The sequence below is a fragment of the Homo sapiens genome, chromosome 6 (genome assembly GCF_000001405.40).
Source record: "Homo sapiens chromosome 6, GRCh38.p14 Primary Assembly".
Classification (NCBI taxonomy): domain Eukaryota; kingdom Metazoa; phylum Chordata; class Mammalia; order Primates; family Hominidae; genus Homo; species Homo sapiens.
In genome coordinates, this window is record NC_000006.12 from 35,875,368 (window position 1) to 35,893,082 (window position 17,715).

Below are 17,715 nucleotides of genomic sequence, written 5' to 3' on the forward strand. Positions count from 1 at the left end.
ACCACGCTGGGCTAATTTTTGTATTTTTAGTACAGATGGGGTTTCACCATATTGGCCAGGCTGGTCTTGAACTCCTGACCTCATAATCTACCTGCCTTGGCCTCCCAAAGTGCTGGGATTACAAGCGTGAGCCACTGCGCCCGGCCAGACCACTATAAAGGATAAAATTATGAGTTAATATATGAATTAAAAACAGAACAAGTCCACACTGATCTGAAAGTAAGTGTGGAGGCAGGAGGAAGAGAAACATCTTCTTTAGAGAAGAAAGCCAAATAATAAATACATAAGGGATTACAGAAATAGAAAATCACCATTTTTACAATCACTATAGTATACTATTACTGATTCAGGTAAGAATCAGTGAATACTAAAACAACTATGTGAAAGACTGTCGGGAAAAAGGATTGTCACAGTGTCAAAATATCATTCCACAGATTGCTTATTAATTACAAAAAGAACAAAGTACCTTTACAACTGGGAAATCTGGAAGGCACTGCCTTAACCAAGTGATCAAACTTACTACCACCAATGATAAGCACAAATTCACACCATGTGCCTTCTAATGCAATATACTAATATGCATTCGAATGCATATTCTAATGCAATAATCCATGTACTATGCTTGACAAACACGGTTAACCTGAATTTAATCATGAGGAAACAATCAAACAAATCCAAACTAAGGTGGCATAAAACAACTAGCCTGGATTCTTAAATTAAAAAAAAAAAAAAAAAAAAAAGGCAATGTCATAAATGTTCCAAACTACGTAAGATTAAAAGCACATGACAACCACAAACACAGATCAAAATTACAGTAAGATAGCATCTCAAACTAATAAATGACTAAAATAAAAAAACTAAACATCACCAAATGTAGGTGAGGTTGTGGAACAATTAGAACTCTTGTATTATGCTAGTAGAAGTCTAAAATGGTACAAGCACTTTGGAAAACTGCTTGGCAAATTCTTAAATATAAAACCTATGACAGGTCGGGCATGGTGGCTCATGCCTGTAATCCTAGCACTTTGGGAGGCCGAGACAGATAGATCCCTTGAGCCCAGGAGTTCAAGAAGACCAGCCTGGGCAACAAGGTGAAACCCTGTCTCTACAAGAAAAATCCAAAAATTAGCCAAGTGTGGTGGCGTGTGCCTGTAGTCCCAGCTACTTAGGAGGCTGAGGTGAGAGGATCACCTGAGCCCAGGAGGTCAAGGCTGCAGTGAGCAGAGATCATGCCACGGCACTCCAGCCTGAGTGACACAGTGACACCCCGTCACAAAAACAACAAACAAAAAACCCCAGCACCTATCAAGTTTTCTGCTTTAGCCAAGATGGAGTAACAGGCACTGGACTTATCTTATTGAAAAAACAATACTCAAACAGACCAAATACAAAAACAACAGAAGACTCTGGACATCAGACAACAAGTACAGTGATCCCTGAAAAAAGGAAACAAGAGCTGAACCCTGGGATTGCCCCATCTTATTGCCTTGAGGCTTTCCAGGTAGACTCCACAAGTTGAATCAATGGGAGCTGAGAGTCTGGAGAGACCAAGGCAGCTATAATTCACTGAAAAAGGTACCAGAGAGAGGGGAGAGCTGCAGAAAGAGAGAAATTTGGAGATTTGCAGAGGGGGCCCGCCCCTTCAAGGATTCAGCAAAGCACATGTGTGTGAGGAAACTAGCAGAGGCAGAGAAGAAAAAACATCTTAAAGGATTATAGAGAACAATGCCCAGCATTCGCATAGGGCTTGGAACAGTGCCTGTTCCCAGCAAAGAGACTAGAAAAATTTAGTCACAGGGTATTGGGTAGGATATATTTGGGAAGGTCTTGCCTCAGTAGAGGGAATGATTAGATCTGGACTGAGCAATGCTTTGGATCCATCTAACAAATCATAAAAGTAAAATCTAAAAGGATAAAACACTTTCCAAGTAACATCACACCATCCCAGAACAAGGCTCAAGAAGATTTATAGAAATACAAAACATCCAGCAGCCAACAAGGTAAAACTTACAATGTGATTACCAGGTAGTAAAACATATCCAAAATTAAAATAATCGATCATGTGAAACTGACTTAGAACCATCACAGATGTTAGAATTAGACAAGGACAATAAATGGTTATTATAGTTGTATTCCATATGTTCAAAAAATTAAGTAGAGACATGAAAAGTATTTTTTAGAAGACTGAAAATGGGCCGGGTGCAGTGGCTCATGGCTGTAATCCCAGCACTTTGGGAGGCCGAGGTGGGCGGATCACGAGGTCAGGAGTTTGAGACCAGCCTGACCAATATGGTGAAACTCCATCTCTACTAAAAATACAAAAAAACTAGCCAGGCATGGTGGCGCGTGCCTGTAGTCCCAGCTACTTAGGAGGCTAAGGCAGGAGAATCACTTGAACCCAGGAGGCGGAGGTTGCAGTGAGCAACCACTGCACCACTGCACTCCACTGCACTCCTGCACCACTGACTCCGTCTCAAAAAAAAAAAAAAGACTTGAAAATGAACTTCCAGAGACAAAAAGTGCAATGTGAGAGATCAAAACACACTGGATGGAACAAATGGCAGATTAGATTTTGTAGAATAAAAAGATTAGTGAATTTGATGGCACAGCAACAGAATTAGTCCAAAATAAAACAATTTGGAAAAATAATCCAAACAAACAAATCCACACATCCACAAAAGCAAGCTTTGGGGGCAACTCAAATAGTGACCTCCAAAAAGGGAAGACAGGAAGGAGGTGAAAGTATGTGCTTTTTGCAATGAATCAACAAATCATAAAGGTAAAGATTCACCCAGTAGCAAAGCATACCCCTAAGTGCTTAGATTCTGGATGTCATTTCCCACTGAATGGAATTAGGGCTTCTTAGAGAAAAACTGATTCTAGATTTAAGACAGGAAATTCACAAGGTGAGCCTGCAATATCTTGATGCCAGGTAATAAACTGCCAAAATGTCATACAGATCCTGACTCAAGTAAGAATCGTAAACTAGAGAAGAGTCTGAGAAGATGGTGGAGTAAGAAGCCACCAGAAATCTGTTTCCCCACCTAGACAACCAATGCATTGGCAGAATCTGTCTAATGTGATTCTTAAGAAACTCTGGAGTCTACTGAGGGCTCACAACTTCCCGAAGAAGAGGCTTGGATAATAATTATTGTAAATGTTGGTCAATTTCAGCTCTTAGCACAGTGGCAACCACCTATCCCCTAATCCTATAGCAAGCAGCCCTGCACACAGTTTGTTGGAGCCATGGTGGGCAAAAAGGATCCTGCCCCAAGTATCAGAGTCGGGTGGCCATTTTTGTAACCCCCCTCCATTGTTTTAAGCCCCTCTTCTGGCTCAAGTGATCTTGCAAAGATTTAAAGGGCCAGTGCCCTATTTCCTCTCCTTCAATTTCTTTCTTTTTCCCCTTTGGGAGCCAGACATTAAGACTAGGACATTTACGGCCAGGCACAGTAGCTCACACCTGTAATCCCAGCACTTTGGGAGGCCAAAGTGGGCAGATCACTTGAGGCCAGGAGTTCGAGACCAGCCTGGCAAACATGGTGAAACGCTGTCTCTATTAAAATTACGAAAATTAGCCAGGTGTGGTGGCATGCACCTGTAATCCCAGCTACATGGGAGGCTGAGGCAGGAGAATCACTTAAACCCAGGAGGCGGAGGTTGCACTGAGCTGAGACTGTGCCACTGCACTCTAGCCTGTGTGACAGAGACTCTTGTCTCTAAATAAATAAATAGACTAGGACATTCAAAAGCAACTGCATATAGAGGGAAAATCAGAAAGTGACTGCGCATGCCCAGGAAAAGATGCAGACTGAGCAAAGACCTTTCGTTTACATCTCAGGCTGATCCTTGGAAGAGAAAGACTACATAAGAAAAACAAATACAAAAACAAAACAGAGCCAGGTACAGCGGCTCATGCACGTAATCCCAGCACTTCGGGAGGCTGAGGCAGGATGACTGCTTGAGCCCAGGGGGTTGAGACCAGCCTGGGCAACATAGCAAGACCCCATCTCCACAAAAAATAAAAAATTAGCTGGGTGTGGTGGCATGCAACTGTAGTCTCAGCTATTTGAAAGGCTGAGGCAGGAGGACTACTTGATTCCAGGACATCAAGGCTGCAGTTTAAGTCATGACTGTGCCACTGTACTCCAGCCTTGGCAAGAGAGTGAGATCCTGTCTCAAAAAAATAAATAAATAACAAACCCCATCAAACCTTAGGGATATGGCCAAATCTAATTTCCAGAGTTACCATATTAGATTTAAATGTCCAGTTTTCAAAAGAAAATCACAAGGCATATGAAGAAATAGTTAAGTACAGCATATTCAAACGACAAAAATAAATCAACAGATACTGTCCCTGAAAAAGACTTGATGCAGACCTACTAGAAAAAGACTTTAAAACAAATGTCTTAAAGATGCTTAGGCCAGGTGTGGTGGCTCATTCCTGTAACCCTATCACTTTCAGAAGCCAAGGCAGGAGGACTGCTTGAACCCAGGAGTTCAAGACCAACCTGGGCCACACAGTGAGACTCCATCTCTACAAAATTTTAAAAATTAGCTGGGTGTGGTGGCATGCACCTGTAGTCTGGAGGCTTAGGCAGGAGAAGTACTTGAGTCTGGGTAGTCAAGGCTGATGTGAGCTGTGTTCGCACCACGGCACTCCAGCCTGGGTGGTGTGAAGACCTTGACAGAGCAAGACCTTGTCTCAGAAAAAAAAAAAAAAAAGCTCAAAGAACAAAAGGAAGATGTGGAGAAAGTCAAGAAAACAATATATAAACAAAACGGAGATATTAATGAGGATAAAAAAAAAACTAAAAAGAAACCAAAGGAATTCTGGTGCTGAAAAGTACAATAACCAAAATGAAAAAATTAACTAGAGGGATTCAAAGGCAGATTTGGGTAGGCAGAAGAAAGAATCAGCAAACCTGAAGTTAGGGTGATGGAAATTATCAAGTGTGAGGAATAGAAAGAAAAAAGATTGAAGAAAAGTGAAGAGGCTTAAGGGACCTGTGGGACATCATTGAGTAGACCAAATATACACTGTGGCAGTCCCAGAAGAAGAATAGAGGAGGAGGCTGGGCACGGTGGCTCACGCCTGTAATCCCAGCACTTTGGGAGGCCAAGGCAAGTGGATCACTTGAGGTCAGGAGTTCAAGACCAGCCTGGCCAACATGGTGAAATCCCATCTCTACTGATATACAAAAATTAGCTGCGTGTGGTGGTGTACACCTGTAATCCCACCTACTTGGGAGGCTGAGGCAGGAGAATGGCTTGAACCCGGGAGGCAGATTGCAGTGAGCGGAGATTGCACCACTGCACTCCAGCCTGGGTGACAGAGTGAGACTCCATCTCAAAAAAAAAAAAAAAGAAAAAAAAAAAAAAAGAAAAGAAAAGAAGAAGAAATGGCCAGACAGAATATTTGAAAAAAAAAACAACGGTTGAAAACGTCACAAATTAGATGAAAGACATGAATCCAAAAAGCTCAATGAGCATCAAGCAAGATGAACTCAAAGACACCCACATCAAGACACATTATAATCAAACTTTTGAAAGATTAAGAGGGAATCTTGAAAGCATCAAGAAGAGTGACTCTTCACATACAAGGGATCCTCACTAAGATTATCAGCAAGTTTCTCATCAAAAATTTTTGGAGGCCAGAAAGCAGTGGGCCAATATATTTGAAATACTAAAAGAAAAATAATGTCAACCAAGAATCCTATATTAAGAAAAACAGTATTTCAAAAGTGAGAGAAAAATTAAGACATCCCATGTAAACAGAAGCTGAACGAGTTCATTACCAGATGTGCCCTGGAAATGGTCAAGGGAGTCCTATAAGGTGAAATGAAAAGACACTAAACAATAACACAAAGCCAGGCATCCATATGAAGAAATAAAGATTATCAATGAAGGTAAATACTTGAGCAATTATAAAAGCTAATATTGTAATAATGGTTTATAACTCCTCTTTTTGTTTTCTACATGATTTAAAAAACCAATATGTCAAAAAATAATTAGTCTAAAAGCTAGTATGATTATAACTTTGGTTTGGTAGAATACACATATAGATATAGATATAGATATAGATATAGATATAGATATAGATATAGATATAGATCCAACTATATGCTGTCTACAAGAGACTCACTTTAGATCCAAAGACACAAACAGATTAAAGTGAAAGGCTGAAGAAAAGATTCCATGCAAATAGTAACCAAACGAAATCAGGGGTGGCTATACTAATATCAGACAAAATAGATTTTCAATCAGAAAAAGTTATAAGAGATAAAGAAGGACATTATCTATATTAATAAAAGGTTCAACATACCACCAAGAAGATATAACAATTATAGACATTTACATACTTATTAAAAGACCACCAAACTATATAAAACAAAAACTGACAGAATTAAAGGGAGAAATAGTTCTACAATAATAGTTGGAGATTTTAATGCCACACTCTCAATAATGTATAGAACAAGCAGACAGAAGATAAGCAAGGCAATAGAGGACTTAACACAATAAACCAATGAGATCTAATAGCCATTTAACAGGTATAGAGCTTCAGTTTTACAAGATGAAAAGTTATGAAGATGGATGATGGTAATGACTGCACAATTTTATGTTATGTGTATTTTACCACAATAAAGAAAAAATTAGACCAAAGAGGAAGAAGAACAAGAACAATAAGAACAACCAGTAGTAGCAGTAGTAGTAGTAGCAGTAGTAGTAGTAGCAATAGTAGTAGTAGTACTAGTAGTAGTAGTAGTAGTAGTAGTAGTAGTAGTAGTAGTAGTAGCAGCAGCAGCAGAAGAAGAAGAAGACAAAAAGAAAATAAAGCACAAGACATTTGGTGAGATTGAAACACTGACTAGAGAAACTTGTGACTAAGAAACTGGTCACAATTTTTTTTTTTTTGGTATAATAATTGCATTCAGGTTATCTTTTTATTTAACAAATCTTTTTGTCAGAGAATGCATCTTGTTGTGCCACCCACACTGGAGTACAGTGGCACTATCATAGCTCACTGCAGCCTCAAACTCCCAGGCTCGAGTGACCCTGCTGCTTCAGCCTCCCAAGTAGCTGGGACTACAGGCATGAGCTACCATGCCTGGCTAGTATTTTTTTATTTTTGTAGAGACAGGGTCTTGCTATGTTACCCAGGCTGGTCTTGAACACCTCAGCTTTGCAAGGTGCTGGGATTATAGGCATGAGCCACAGTGCCTGGCTAGGTTATATTTTAAGAGTCCTTGTCATTTAGAAATACATTCTAAAACAATTACAGATAAAATGTTTAAGATTGGCTACAGAATTATCAGGAGGTACAGACAAAACAAGATTGGCTATAAGTTGATAACTCCTGAAATGGGTAATGGATCTGTGGGGATTCATTAAACTATTTCTACTTCTTTACATTTGAAATTTACCAATGATTCTGCTGAGAAAAAAAATTTCCCCACCCGAGATGGAGTCTTGCTCTGTCACCCAGGCTGGAGTGCAGTGGCATGATCTCAGGTCACTGCAACCTCCGCCTCCCAGGTTCAAACCATTCTCCTACCTCAGCCTCCCAAGTAGCTGGGATTACAGGCACGTGCCACCACGCCTCGCTAATTTTTGTATTTTTAGTAGAGATGGGGTTTCGCCATGTTGGCCAGTCTGGTCTTGAACTCCTGACCTCGTGATCCGCCCGCTTTGGCCTCCCAAAGTGCTGGGATTATAGGCGTGAGCCACTGCACCTGGCCAGGAAATTTTTTTAAACAAGCAATTAAATAGGCTGGGCATGGTGGCTCATGCCTTCAATCCCAGCACTTTGGGAGGCTGTGGCAGGTGGATCGCCAACATGGCAAAACCCCGTCTCTGCTAAAAATACAAAAACTAGCTGGGCGTGGTGGTGTGCATCTGTAATCTCAGCTACTCGGGAGGGTGAGGAAGGAGAATCGCTTGAACCTGGGAGGCGGAGGTTGCAGTGAGCCGAGATTGCGCCATTGCACTCCAGCCTGGCCAACAAGAACGAAACTCTGTCTCAAAATAAATAAAAATAAAAAAGCAATTAAATAAAAAAAATTATCAAAACAAGATTATTTAAAATGCAGATTACTTAAAAAGACTAAACATAAAATAGGATTGTAAAGCTATTCTCTTATGTTTCTAGCTTCCATCTGCTTAATTTTTATTTGTTGAGAGAAGTATTACAATTTGAAAATGTTTTAATTTGTAAGCAGTGATATTAAAATGACCAAACATATAGTAGCTTAAAAAAAAACTTGACAGAACATCATAATCAAGTGGCAAAAAGGAAGAGCCAAATAATTTGAGTGAAAGAAAGCTAATGAGTAGCAATCAGAAGCACTAGTAATTGAAATCACAAGGTTATTTTTTTTTTTTTTGAGGCGGAGTCTTGCTCTGTCGCCCAGGCTGGAGTGCAGTTGGCGCTATCTTGGCTCACTGCAATCTCCTCCTCCCAGGTTCACGCCATTCTCCTGCCTCAGCCTTCTGAGTAGCTGGGACTACAGGCGCCTGCCACCACGCCCAGCTTTTTTTTGTATTTTTAGTAGAGATGAGGTTTCACCGTGTTAGCCAAGATGGTCTCGGTCTCCTGACCTCGTGATCCGCCCACCTCGGCCTCCCAAAGTGCTGAGATTACAGGTGTGAGCCACTGCACCCGGCCCACAAGGTTATATTTTTAAAAAAATCTAATGGGGAGACAGTGTAAAGAAAATAACAAAAGGCTGAAAATAAAAGGCTTATGTTATTGAGTAAGCACATTTAGGGCACATTATGAATAAGAGGAGCTAGCAAAACAGACAGAATACAGCATGAAAAAAAAAGTATCCTAAAGACATAGGAGGTCATATAAGCAGACAATAATGACTGGCTAATGTCAACATTATATAGAGAAACCAACTGTCCTCCTTCTTAATCATTCTTTTCCCCTCACCCTCCAGGCAAGTAGAGTGAGCCAGTTTATATGGAATTCTGTAAGAACTAACTTTCTAGTTTAGGGCCCTTTATATTTTAATATGAGAAACGATAGTGGTCCAGAGAAAAAAACGCCTGAACAAACATACACACGAATGTGGATGTACTGCTCTGTGTGGGTATGTTATGTTGGGAAAACGGGTAGAGGCAGGAGAGTGACATGAGCCATTACTAACCCTTAACATAGTGTTTTGAGTTATATCCTTTCAATCTCTAACAGTAGTAAATAATGCAGGAGCAAAGACAGCTGGGAGATAAGGATGAAGAAAGACAGGAAAAAATGGCTAAGAACAAATGGAGAAAAGAATAAAATAGGGAATCAATGGACAGAAGCTACAGAGAAACCACCTAGCAATGTTTGAAAAATATCTTGGGGGCCGGGCACGGTGGCTCACACCTGTAATCCCAGCACTTTGGGAGGCCGAGGCGGGCAGATCACCTGAGGTCAGGGGTTTGAGACCAGCCTGGCCAACATGGTGAAACCCCATCTCTACTAAAAATACAAAATTAGCTGGGTGTGGTGGCATCCACCTGTAATCCCAGCTACTCGGGAGGCTGAGGCAGGAGAATCACTTGAACCCAGGAGGCAGAGGTTACAGTGAGCCGAGATTATGCCATTGAACTCCAAAAAAGAAAAAGAAAAATATCTTGGAACTTGAAATTCAAACCTACTAAGATATTTCAATAGTTAAAAAGCCTTCTTTGCTTAGTTAGGGTCAAATAAAGGTACTCAGCATTACTGGGGAGATTTGAGAGTATTTCTATAGTTTTACTTGGAACTTTTGCAAATTAGTAAAGAAATCTGGCACAATGACAAACATTACAAGATTAAATAATAGAAAAAACAGATATGGCCATCACGACACCCTGTGTAGGTTTTTAAAAAATTACTTGGTTTAGAATTCTTAATTCTTTGAACACACACACACACACACACACACACACACACACACACAGAGAGAGAGAGAGAGAGAGAGAGAGAGAGAGCCATCTACAAAGTGACCACAATAAGCACAAGATACTGTTTTAAGATGGTTGCAGCAGTTTTCCTTAGACATCTGGGTAATCTGTGATTTGTATTTTTCTAAGAAATGACTCAGAATTGACTTTAGAACAATAGTCTTTCCACATTATCAGCTGTTCTCTCTCCTTTCCCATCCCTTCCTTCCTGCTTCTCTGTTCAAATCTCTTCCCATAGTCTACATGAAACTAGTCATATGTAGTCCTGTCTCCTTTAAATACAAAAAGATCAACAGCAATTAGGAATGTGCATTAAAGGAAGCTAAACATGCATGAAAAGTAAAATAATGTATGAAATGTCTTTATACATTTTAAAAACAGCTTATAAACAGGTGATTTTAGATTTATCCAATCTAAGTAAGATTCGACTTCATCTTTTACTGAAAAATCTGATTGACCTTTATAAGCACAGCTGTTGCAATAACCTTTCCATTAGCTCACCGCACGTCACTTTGATACCTGTGAAGAAAATCAGCTATGGTTCCTTTCAATTCTACAGTTCTAAAACATCCAGATAAAAACATAAAACAAGTCAGTTTTTCATTATAATAGAATGTGAACAATTACACCCTTTTAGACTCTAAACATAAACTACATTCACAGCCTCTTCAAAGTTGAGGCTTAGTATAATAAATACAATCATACCTTAAATTGTTCATCCAGTTTCTTTCTTCCTTTCTTTTTCTTTCTCTCTTTTTCTCTTTCTTTTAGACAGTATCTTTTTTTTTTTTTTTTAGACAGAGTCTGGCTCTGTCCCCCACGCTGGAGTGCAGTGGGCTCAATCTCGGCTCACTGCAACCTCTGCCTCCCCAGTTCAAGTGATTCTCCAGCCTCAGCCTCTCCAGTAGCTGGGATTACAGGAGCCTGCCACCATGCCCAGCTAATTTTTGTATTTTGGTAGAAACAGAGTTTCACCATGTTCGCCAGGTGGGTCTTGAACTCCTGACCTCAGGTGATCCACCTGCCTCGGCCTCCCAAAGTGCTGGGATTACAGGCTTGAGCCACCGTGCCCGGCCTACTCAGTATTTTTCATAAGAAATTACTTCCCTTAAAGTTTCTGTGCTAACTGACAAAAATCATAGACTCTTTACTTAGTGATACAACGCATTTTCTAAAAGTTTCCTTTGATTTCGCTTTAATTTGCCTGAAAAGAGGACAAGAAGCTTAAAGCAATATTCTGAAAAATCACACCACACAAAATTAGACAAAATTCAGATGTGTGTTCAGAAGTGTACAATAAAAGAGGTAATTTTATTATAGTTTGCCTTAGAAAAGACACCAAGGCCATCTACACAACAAATCTAGTTCCTTTCTTTGGGATTGGGATGATTTATTCTCAAATAGGTTTTTAAAAGGATACGTGTTCCATTAACTCCTGATATTTTAAAGTCATCTAGTAGTTGAACAACCATTTCTCTATTTGGATCATTAGGGTCTGAATTGCGAACCTGTAGTGGGGAAGAGACAGTGTTTAGCACAAGGTAAAGCATGGAAATAAACCAGATGGTAGGGGAAGAATACTTACAGCAAATTAACTACAAGAAAGAGCTCACATAAATCTATTTTTAAAATATACTAAAATTTCAATAGCTTTAATGGAGAAAAATCTTAAATAGTCAATTCATAAGAGGAAATACAACCAACAGGAACTATTTTTCTAATTAAACTATTTTGCTCCCTGATATCAATCAAAGTGTGGCCTCCAAATTAACTGATGATTACCAGGCTATGAGGAACTAAGAAGATTTTGCAGGATGCAAATCAACTACAGCACTAACCACACTGTTTTTTTCAGCGGACATTTTTTTTTTCATGGAAAAACTTTCTCAATGAAGAAAACAGTATGTTGATTTACTTTTGGGTAGGTACAAGGCTCCTTATCTTGTCACAAACGGACATTCTGAAAAGTACTGTCTTAAGCCAGATGCAGTGGCTTGTGCCTGTAACCCCAGCTACTCTGGAGGCTAAGGCAGATCACTTGAGGCCAGGAGTTGAAAATAAAAAAGAAAACTACTGCCATAGAAATCTCCTGGTGCAACATTCTCACTTTATGAATAAAAAATCTGAGACTCAGAAAGAAAAAAATGGTAACATGGAGGACATACCGGGGTAAAGGCGACCTAAACCCAGGTTTTCTAATTCTGAATTTAAGTTCCTTCTACCACACTGGCATATTCCTAATTTAAAACAGAACTAAAAATACATTTTTGATAGAATTTATCTCAGTTTCCAGGTATAAATGGAATCAGTAAATACAGTATTTTTATATTATGTATTCTATAACATATTTGAAAAACAACAAAAAAGATGCTATACATTTATTTACACAACTTTCCTTTTAACCATAGTAGGAAAAAAAAACATTATGACAGTAGCTACCTGGCCTGTAAAACATGCTCAGTGAATATTTTTATTCATTTGAAAGGTTTTTTTTTGGTTCATGCGTGTAAGAAGAATTCTCATCATAGCATTTGCCACCAGTTCCCTACTACATGCATGGTATGTGTAAATATTGTTGTCTTCCTTTACCTCTTTAAGGTTACTAGAACTTTATAGAGAAAATTATCCATGCTAAAGAGCCTCCACTTGGTGTGTTTTTATTCAATGAAACTTGATTTATTTATAATTCTTCACATTCATACATATAATCTAATACTCACTGACTTCAGCAACCGGATTTCATCTAGTGCTGTTTCAGTGTAATGTTCAGCACTTTTAACTACTTTCATTGCCACAAATTTCTTCCCCCTAAGAAACAAACACAGGCAATTAAGACTACATAGCCTACCCTTACTTTAGGAAGCTAAGATTTAGCTATAAGATGGTTAAAAAGGACAAATATTGATTTCACGTTTCCCTGTAGCCCAAACAAGCTACTTCTATGGGAACATTTATACTTGTTAATGACACTAACTGGCCAGATTTCATTTATAGGAAGAATAAAAAATCTGTTCTCAGATAATCTCAGTTGTTGAACATTTTCTCTGAGTTAAAATCCTTCTTTTGAATATCTCCCTGAGTTACAAGCAAAACTGCAAAATGAGGATAAATAAGGGGAAAGATATTACCAAATTCCAAGTGTTCTGTGTATATATCTGTATATAGGCAAAAACTAAAAGGTTAAAAGCTGTAATATTTTCCCATAGGCAGCCAGAAGAAATACTTCGGTGAAAAGAAAATGATAAAAATCACAAAAAAATCAAACGACAAAAGCTTTACCAGCATTAATTTAATCACTCCTGTCTCTATAGTAGAAAGGGAGATATATAATACTGATTCTTCACGAAAGAAAAGTGGTTTCTCCAAGAATACAGAGACTATTGCCAACAACAAAATTCTGATAAATGAATCAGGCTAGAGATAGATTGAAGCCTGGATCAGCAGTGGAAACTCAGACAAACACATTTAGACATCATCTAACTAATTCTTTTACAGAACCACTAAAACTTACTGAATATCCCATGATAACCATACTGTTGAAAAGTGTCCCCAGCCTAACTTTCGGATCACATGGTATCTCCCATTGAATAGATCTCCAATTTTCACAAGATGATAACCTCCTGGAAGAAACAGGGGAAATACAATCAGAAAAACCAGGATGAGAAACAATGGTAAGAAAAGGCATTTTTAACATCACATTTTTCAACATCTATATACCTTTTATCAATAAAAAGTTTCTTTTATACAATCAATTCAACAGAAGAAAATCTTAATAGTCAAATCAGCCACATAGTATTACTGAATTCATGTTATTAAAAAAAGTGAGTAAGATTAATGATTTAGATTGAGCCTACAACAGTCTCATCCAAAAACAATAAAAAGGTTGTATATCATGATATTCTTGTCTCTCAATAATTCAATAGGTTTATCTAAACATATATATCTATTTACAATTACAGTCTCAGGTGTTTTTTAGGAGACAGAATAATTCTGTTTATTTAGCAAAAAAAAAAAAGCAAGTAAGCAAACGGGATTTTCTCTAAATAAAAACAAAACAAAACAGCCCAGGCACGGTGGCTCATGCCTGTAATCCCAGCACTTTGGGAGGCCAAGGAGGGCGGATCATTTGAGGTCAGGAGTTCGAGACCAGCCTGGCCAACATAGTGAAACCTGTCTCTATTAAAAATACAAAAATTAAGGCTGGGCATGGTGGCTCACGCGTGTAATCCCAGCACTTTGGGAGGCCGAGGTGGGTGGATCACCTGAGGTCAGGAGTTTGAGAACCAGACTGGCCAACATGGTAAAACCCAGTCTCTACTAAAAATACAAAAATTGGCCAGTGTCATGGTGCATGCCTGTAGTCCCAGCTACTCGGGAGGCTGAGGCAGGAGAATCGCTTGAACCCAGGAGGTGGAGGTTGCAGTGAGCTGAGATTGTGCCACTGCACTCCAGCCTGGATGACAGAGCCAGACTCTGTCTCAAAAAACAAACAAACAAACAAAAAACAAAAAACGGCAAGGCGCGGTGGCTCACCCCTGTAATCCCAGCACTTTGGGAGGCTGAGGCAGACGGATCACAAGGTCAGGAGATCGAGACCATCCTGGCTAACACGGTGAAACCCTGTGTCTACTAAAAAAAAAAAAAAATACAAAAAATTAGCCGGGTATGGTGGCGGGCGCCTGTAGTCCCAGCTACTCGGGAGGCTGAGGCAGGAGAATGGCATGAACCCGGGAGGCAGAGCTTGCAGTGAGCCGAGATCGCGCCAACTGCACTCCAGCCTGGGCGACAGAGCGAGACTCCGCCTCAAAAACAAAAAAACAAAAAATCCCAAAAATTAGCCAGGCGTGGTGGTGGGTGCCTGAGGCACAAGAATCGCTTGAATCCAGGAGTCAGAGGCTGCAGTGAGCTGAGATCGTGCCACAGCACTCCAGCCTGGGCAGCTCTGTCTCAAAAAAACAAAACAAAAAAACCCCCAAAAAACCAGAAAACAGAAGAAGGCCTGAAAAGGCTGCCAACAGTGGCAAGAATCAAGGTATTTTCATATTTATCTTTGTCAGCTGAGAATAAGAAGGACCACATTCTTCTAGATGGTATGATACATTCCATTTTGTGTTCCTACCCAAAGACTCTAGAAAGTCTCATCAAGAAACAGAAAAGATTAACAGGCAACCTAATGACACCATTTAAGTGTCTGTCATTCCAGTTTAACTTAACAGCCATCACTATGAGAAAAAAAGTGGTAAGAAGGTATTTTGTAAAAATCTATATGCCAAAATGTTATCACTGGTTATATGTGGCTGATAGCATTGCAGAAGTCTTTTACTTTCTTTTCTGTTTAACACAGCTCTGAAATTTTCTAAGGTAAATATGTATTATAATTTTTAAAGAGGAAAAAGGTAAAAACATTTAATATAAAATTAGGCTTTGATAAATTAAGTCAGACTAAGAACAAATACTATTTCCTATGTTTTAGAGAAAAGGATACAAGTAAACAGCAATAAAACTGTGTTTATGCTGATAGATCAAACATCCAAACGAGAAATTGCAAATAGATGGCTCATGTCTCACTTCATACCTCTTTATGAACTTACCTTTACAATAATCATTAGGATCTTCTTGCTCATCATCATCAGATCCCAGAATCTCCTCTTCCTGCTCTGGTAGATCACTCTCAGAGTGGGGAGCAGAGCCTCGGTGCTGAGTTTCAGATCTAAGAAATGATACAAAAATGCCCATTCCATTTGGACAGAAGAAAATAAGACATTATCAAATGCTGCCCTCCCCACAAAAAACTAAACTTTCAGATAATATGAACAGAGTATTACCAAGTGGCAGCCTAGGAAAATATTAGCTGTAGTTTTACCTCATGTTAGAAAAATACTTTTTAAAAACTTCAGTACATAATAAATAAAATCTGAAAAATATTAAAAAGTACAAAGGAGAAAAATTACTTGAATCTCAATATCCAAACATAATCACTGATAAACTACTGACTCTTCTTCCATTATGTTGCTGTATCTTCATAAAAATATTTATCTGTAATCACATACTACATAAACAAATTTGCATCTGGCTTTTTCTATTACAAACTTTTTTCATTTCTATGAAATCTCTTAAATCTTAACATGGAGGCCAGGCATGGATGGTGGCTCACATCTGTAATCCCAGCACTTTGGGAGGCCGAGGTGGGTGGATCACCTGAGGTCAGGAGTTCGAAACCAGTCTGGCCAATATGGTGAAACCCCATCTCTACTAAGGAAACAAAAAATTTGCCCAGCGTGGTGGTGGGCACCCCACGCTGTAATCCCAGCTACTTGAGAGGCTGAGGCAGGAGAATTGCTTGAACCCGGGAAGTGGAGGCTACGGTGAGACAAGATTGTGCCATTACACTCCAGCCTGGGCAACAAGAGCGAAACTCTGTCTCAAAAAAAAAAAAAAAAAAATCTTAACATGCTTCCCTTAGAAGTATCACTGCTTACTTTGGCACATTCTGCTCAGCTGGACATTTATTTCCAATTTTTCACTACTAAAAATATAGTTGTTGAATACTTTTGGATAATCTTTATTCTGTAATTAGAATTATTTCCCTAAAATTAAACTACTAAGTAGGGGTTAAAACATTCCTATTTATAAAAATAACATGTTAAATGTGGAAAATTTGGAAAACACTTGTTTCAAGGCATACCTAATCAGAACAACTATTAACATTTTGGAATATTTCCTTCTAGTCAGTGGCCATGAATGCTTCGCTTCTAATGATTTTTATGTAGTATGACTGCTTCCCAAAAAGGTTGTACTAAGTTACATCCCCACCAGCCACACATGGGCTTTTGGTATTTAAGTACTACCTCATTCTGAAAACTTAGCTTATTTGATAGGTAAAAATCATATTTCATTTTATAATGCATTAAAAATATTTACTGATTTCCTTCTCTATATGTCTTCAATTAGTTATATCACAACTTTTGTGCACTGAGAAGTTCAAGCAGCATAAAAACCTGAATTTACACTCAGGCTCTGACACTTATTAGTTGCCTGTCTTCTAGGACCTTTAAGCAAAAAAAGCAGGGTACCTCTGGGCCTCATGCCTGTAATCCCAGCACTTTGGGAAGCTGAGGCAGGTAGATCATTTGAGGCCAGGGGTTTGAGACCAGCCTGGCCAACATAAAGAAACCCCATCTCTATTAAAAATATAAAAATTAGCTGGGTGTGGTGGCAGGCACCTGTAATCCCAGCTACTTGGGAGGCTGAGGCACAATAATCACTTGAACTCAGGAGGCAAAGGTTACAGTGAGCCGAAATCGCGTCGTTGCACTCCACCCTGGGCAACAGGGCAAGATTCTGTCTAAAAACAACAACAACAACAACAACAACAACAACAACAACGACAACAACACAAAACAAAACAAAACAAAAAGGCAGGGTACACAGCATTCCTTTCAATAGCTAAAGGAAAATACATCTTAATTTTAATTTTTCAGTATTTATTTACCTTTTCATCAACCTGTTTCATCAGATTATTTTTTCAAAAGATTCAATTAACAGAAAAACATTTTAATAGAAAAACCAGTTACATGCTATGACTGAGCTATTTAAGACATAAGAAATACCTTGATGCAACTAATGATTTAGATTTTTGGTGGCCATTCCAACCTTCCTCAATTCTTGATTTTCTTTTTAATCCCCCAGGGTACACAAAATTAGCTATAAAACTGCATGATTCAATGTTCATTGTAACTGAAAACATGTCTTTGGGAAATTTATTTAGTAATACACTGG

The 17,715-nt window shown here is 38.9% G+C and overlaps 1 protein-coding gene across 2 annotated transcripts in view; it reads right to left on the bottom strand.

The window, feature by feature from the left end:
* SRPK1 (SRSF protein kinase 1) overlaps positions 1–17,715 on the bottom strand; it is an 88,133-nt gene that overhangs the window by 42,402 nt on the left and 28,016 nt on the right. The window contains exons 3-6 of one of the 2 annotated variants that reach the window (NR_034069.2): positions 15,528–15,674; positions 13,448–13,556; positions 12,657–12,744; positions 11,357–11,444 (exon numbers count right to left, since the gene is read on the bottom strand). Coding sequence is in view for 1 of the 2 variants with exons in the window: in NM_003137.5 (NP_003128.3) it covers positions 11,357–11,444; positions 12,657–12,744; positions 13,448–13,556; positions 15,528–15,646 (404 nt within the window). In the remaining variant the exon portion in view is untranslated. The remainder of the gene's footprint in view (positions 1–11,356; positions 11,445–12,656; positions 12,745–13,447; positions 13,557–15,527; positions 15,675–17,715) is intronic. The other variant, NM_003137.5, reaches the window with a different exon arrangement.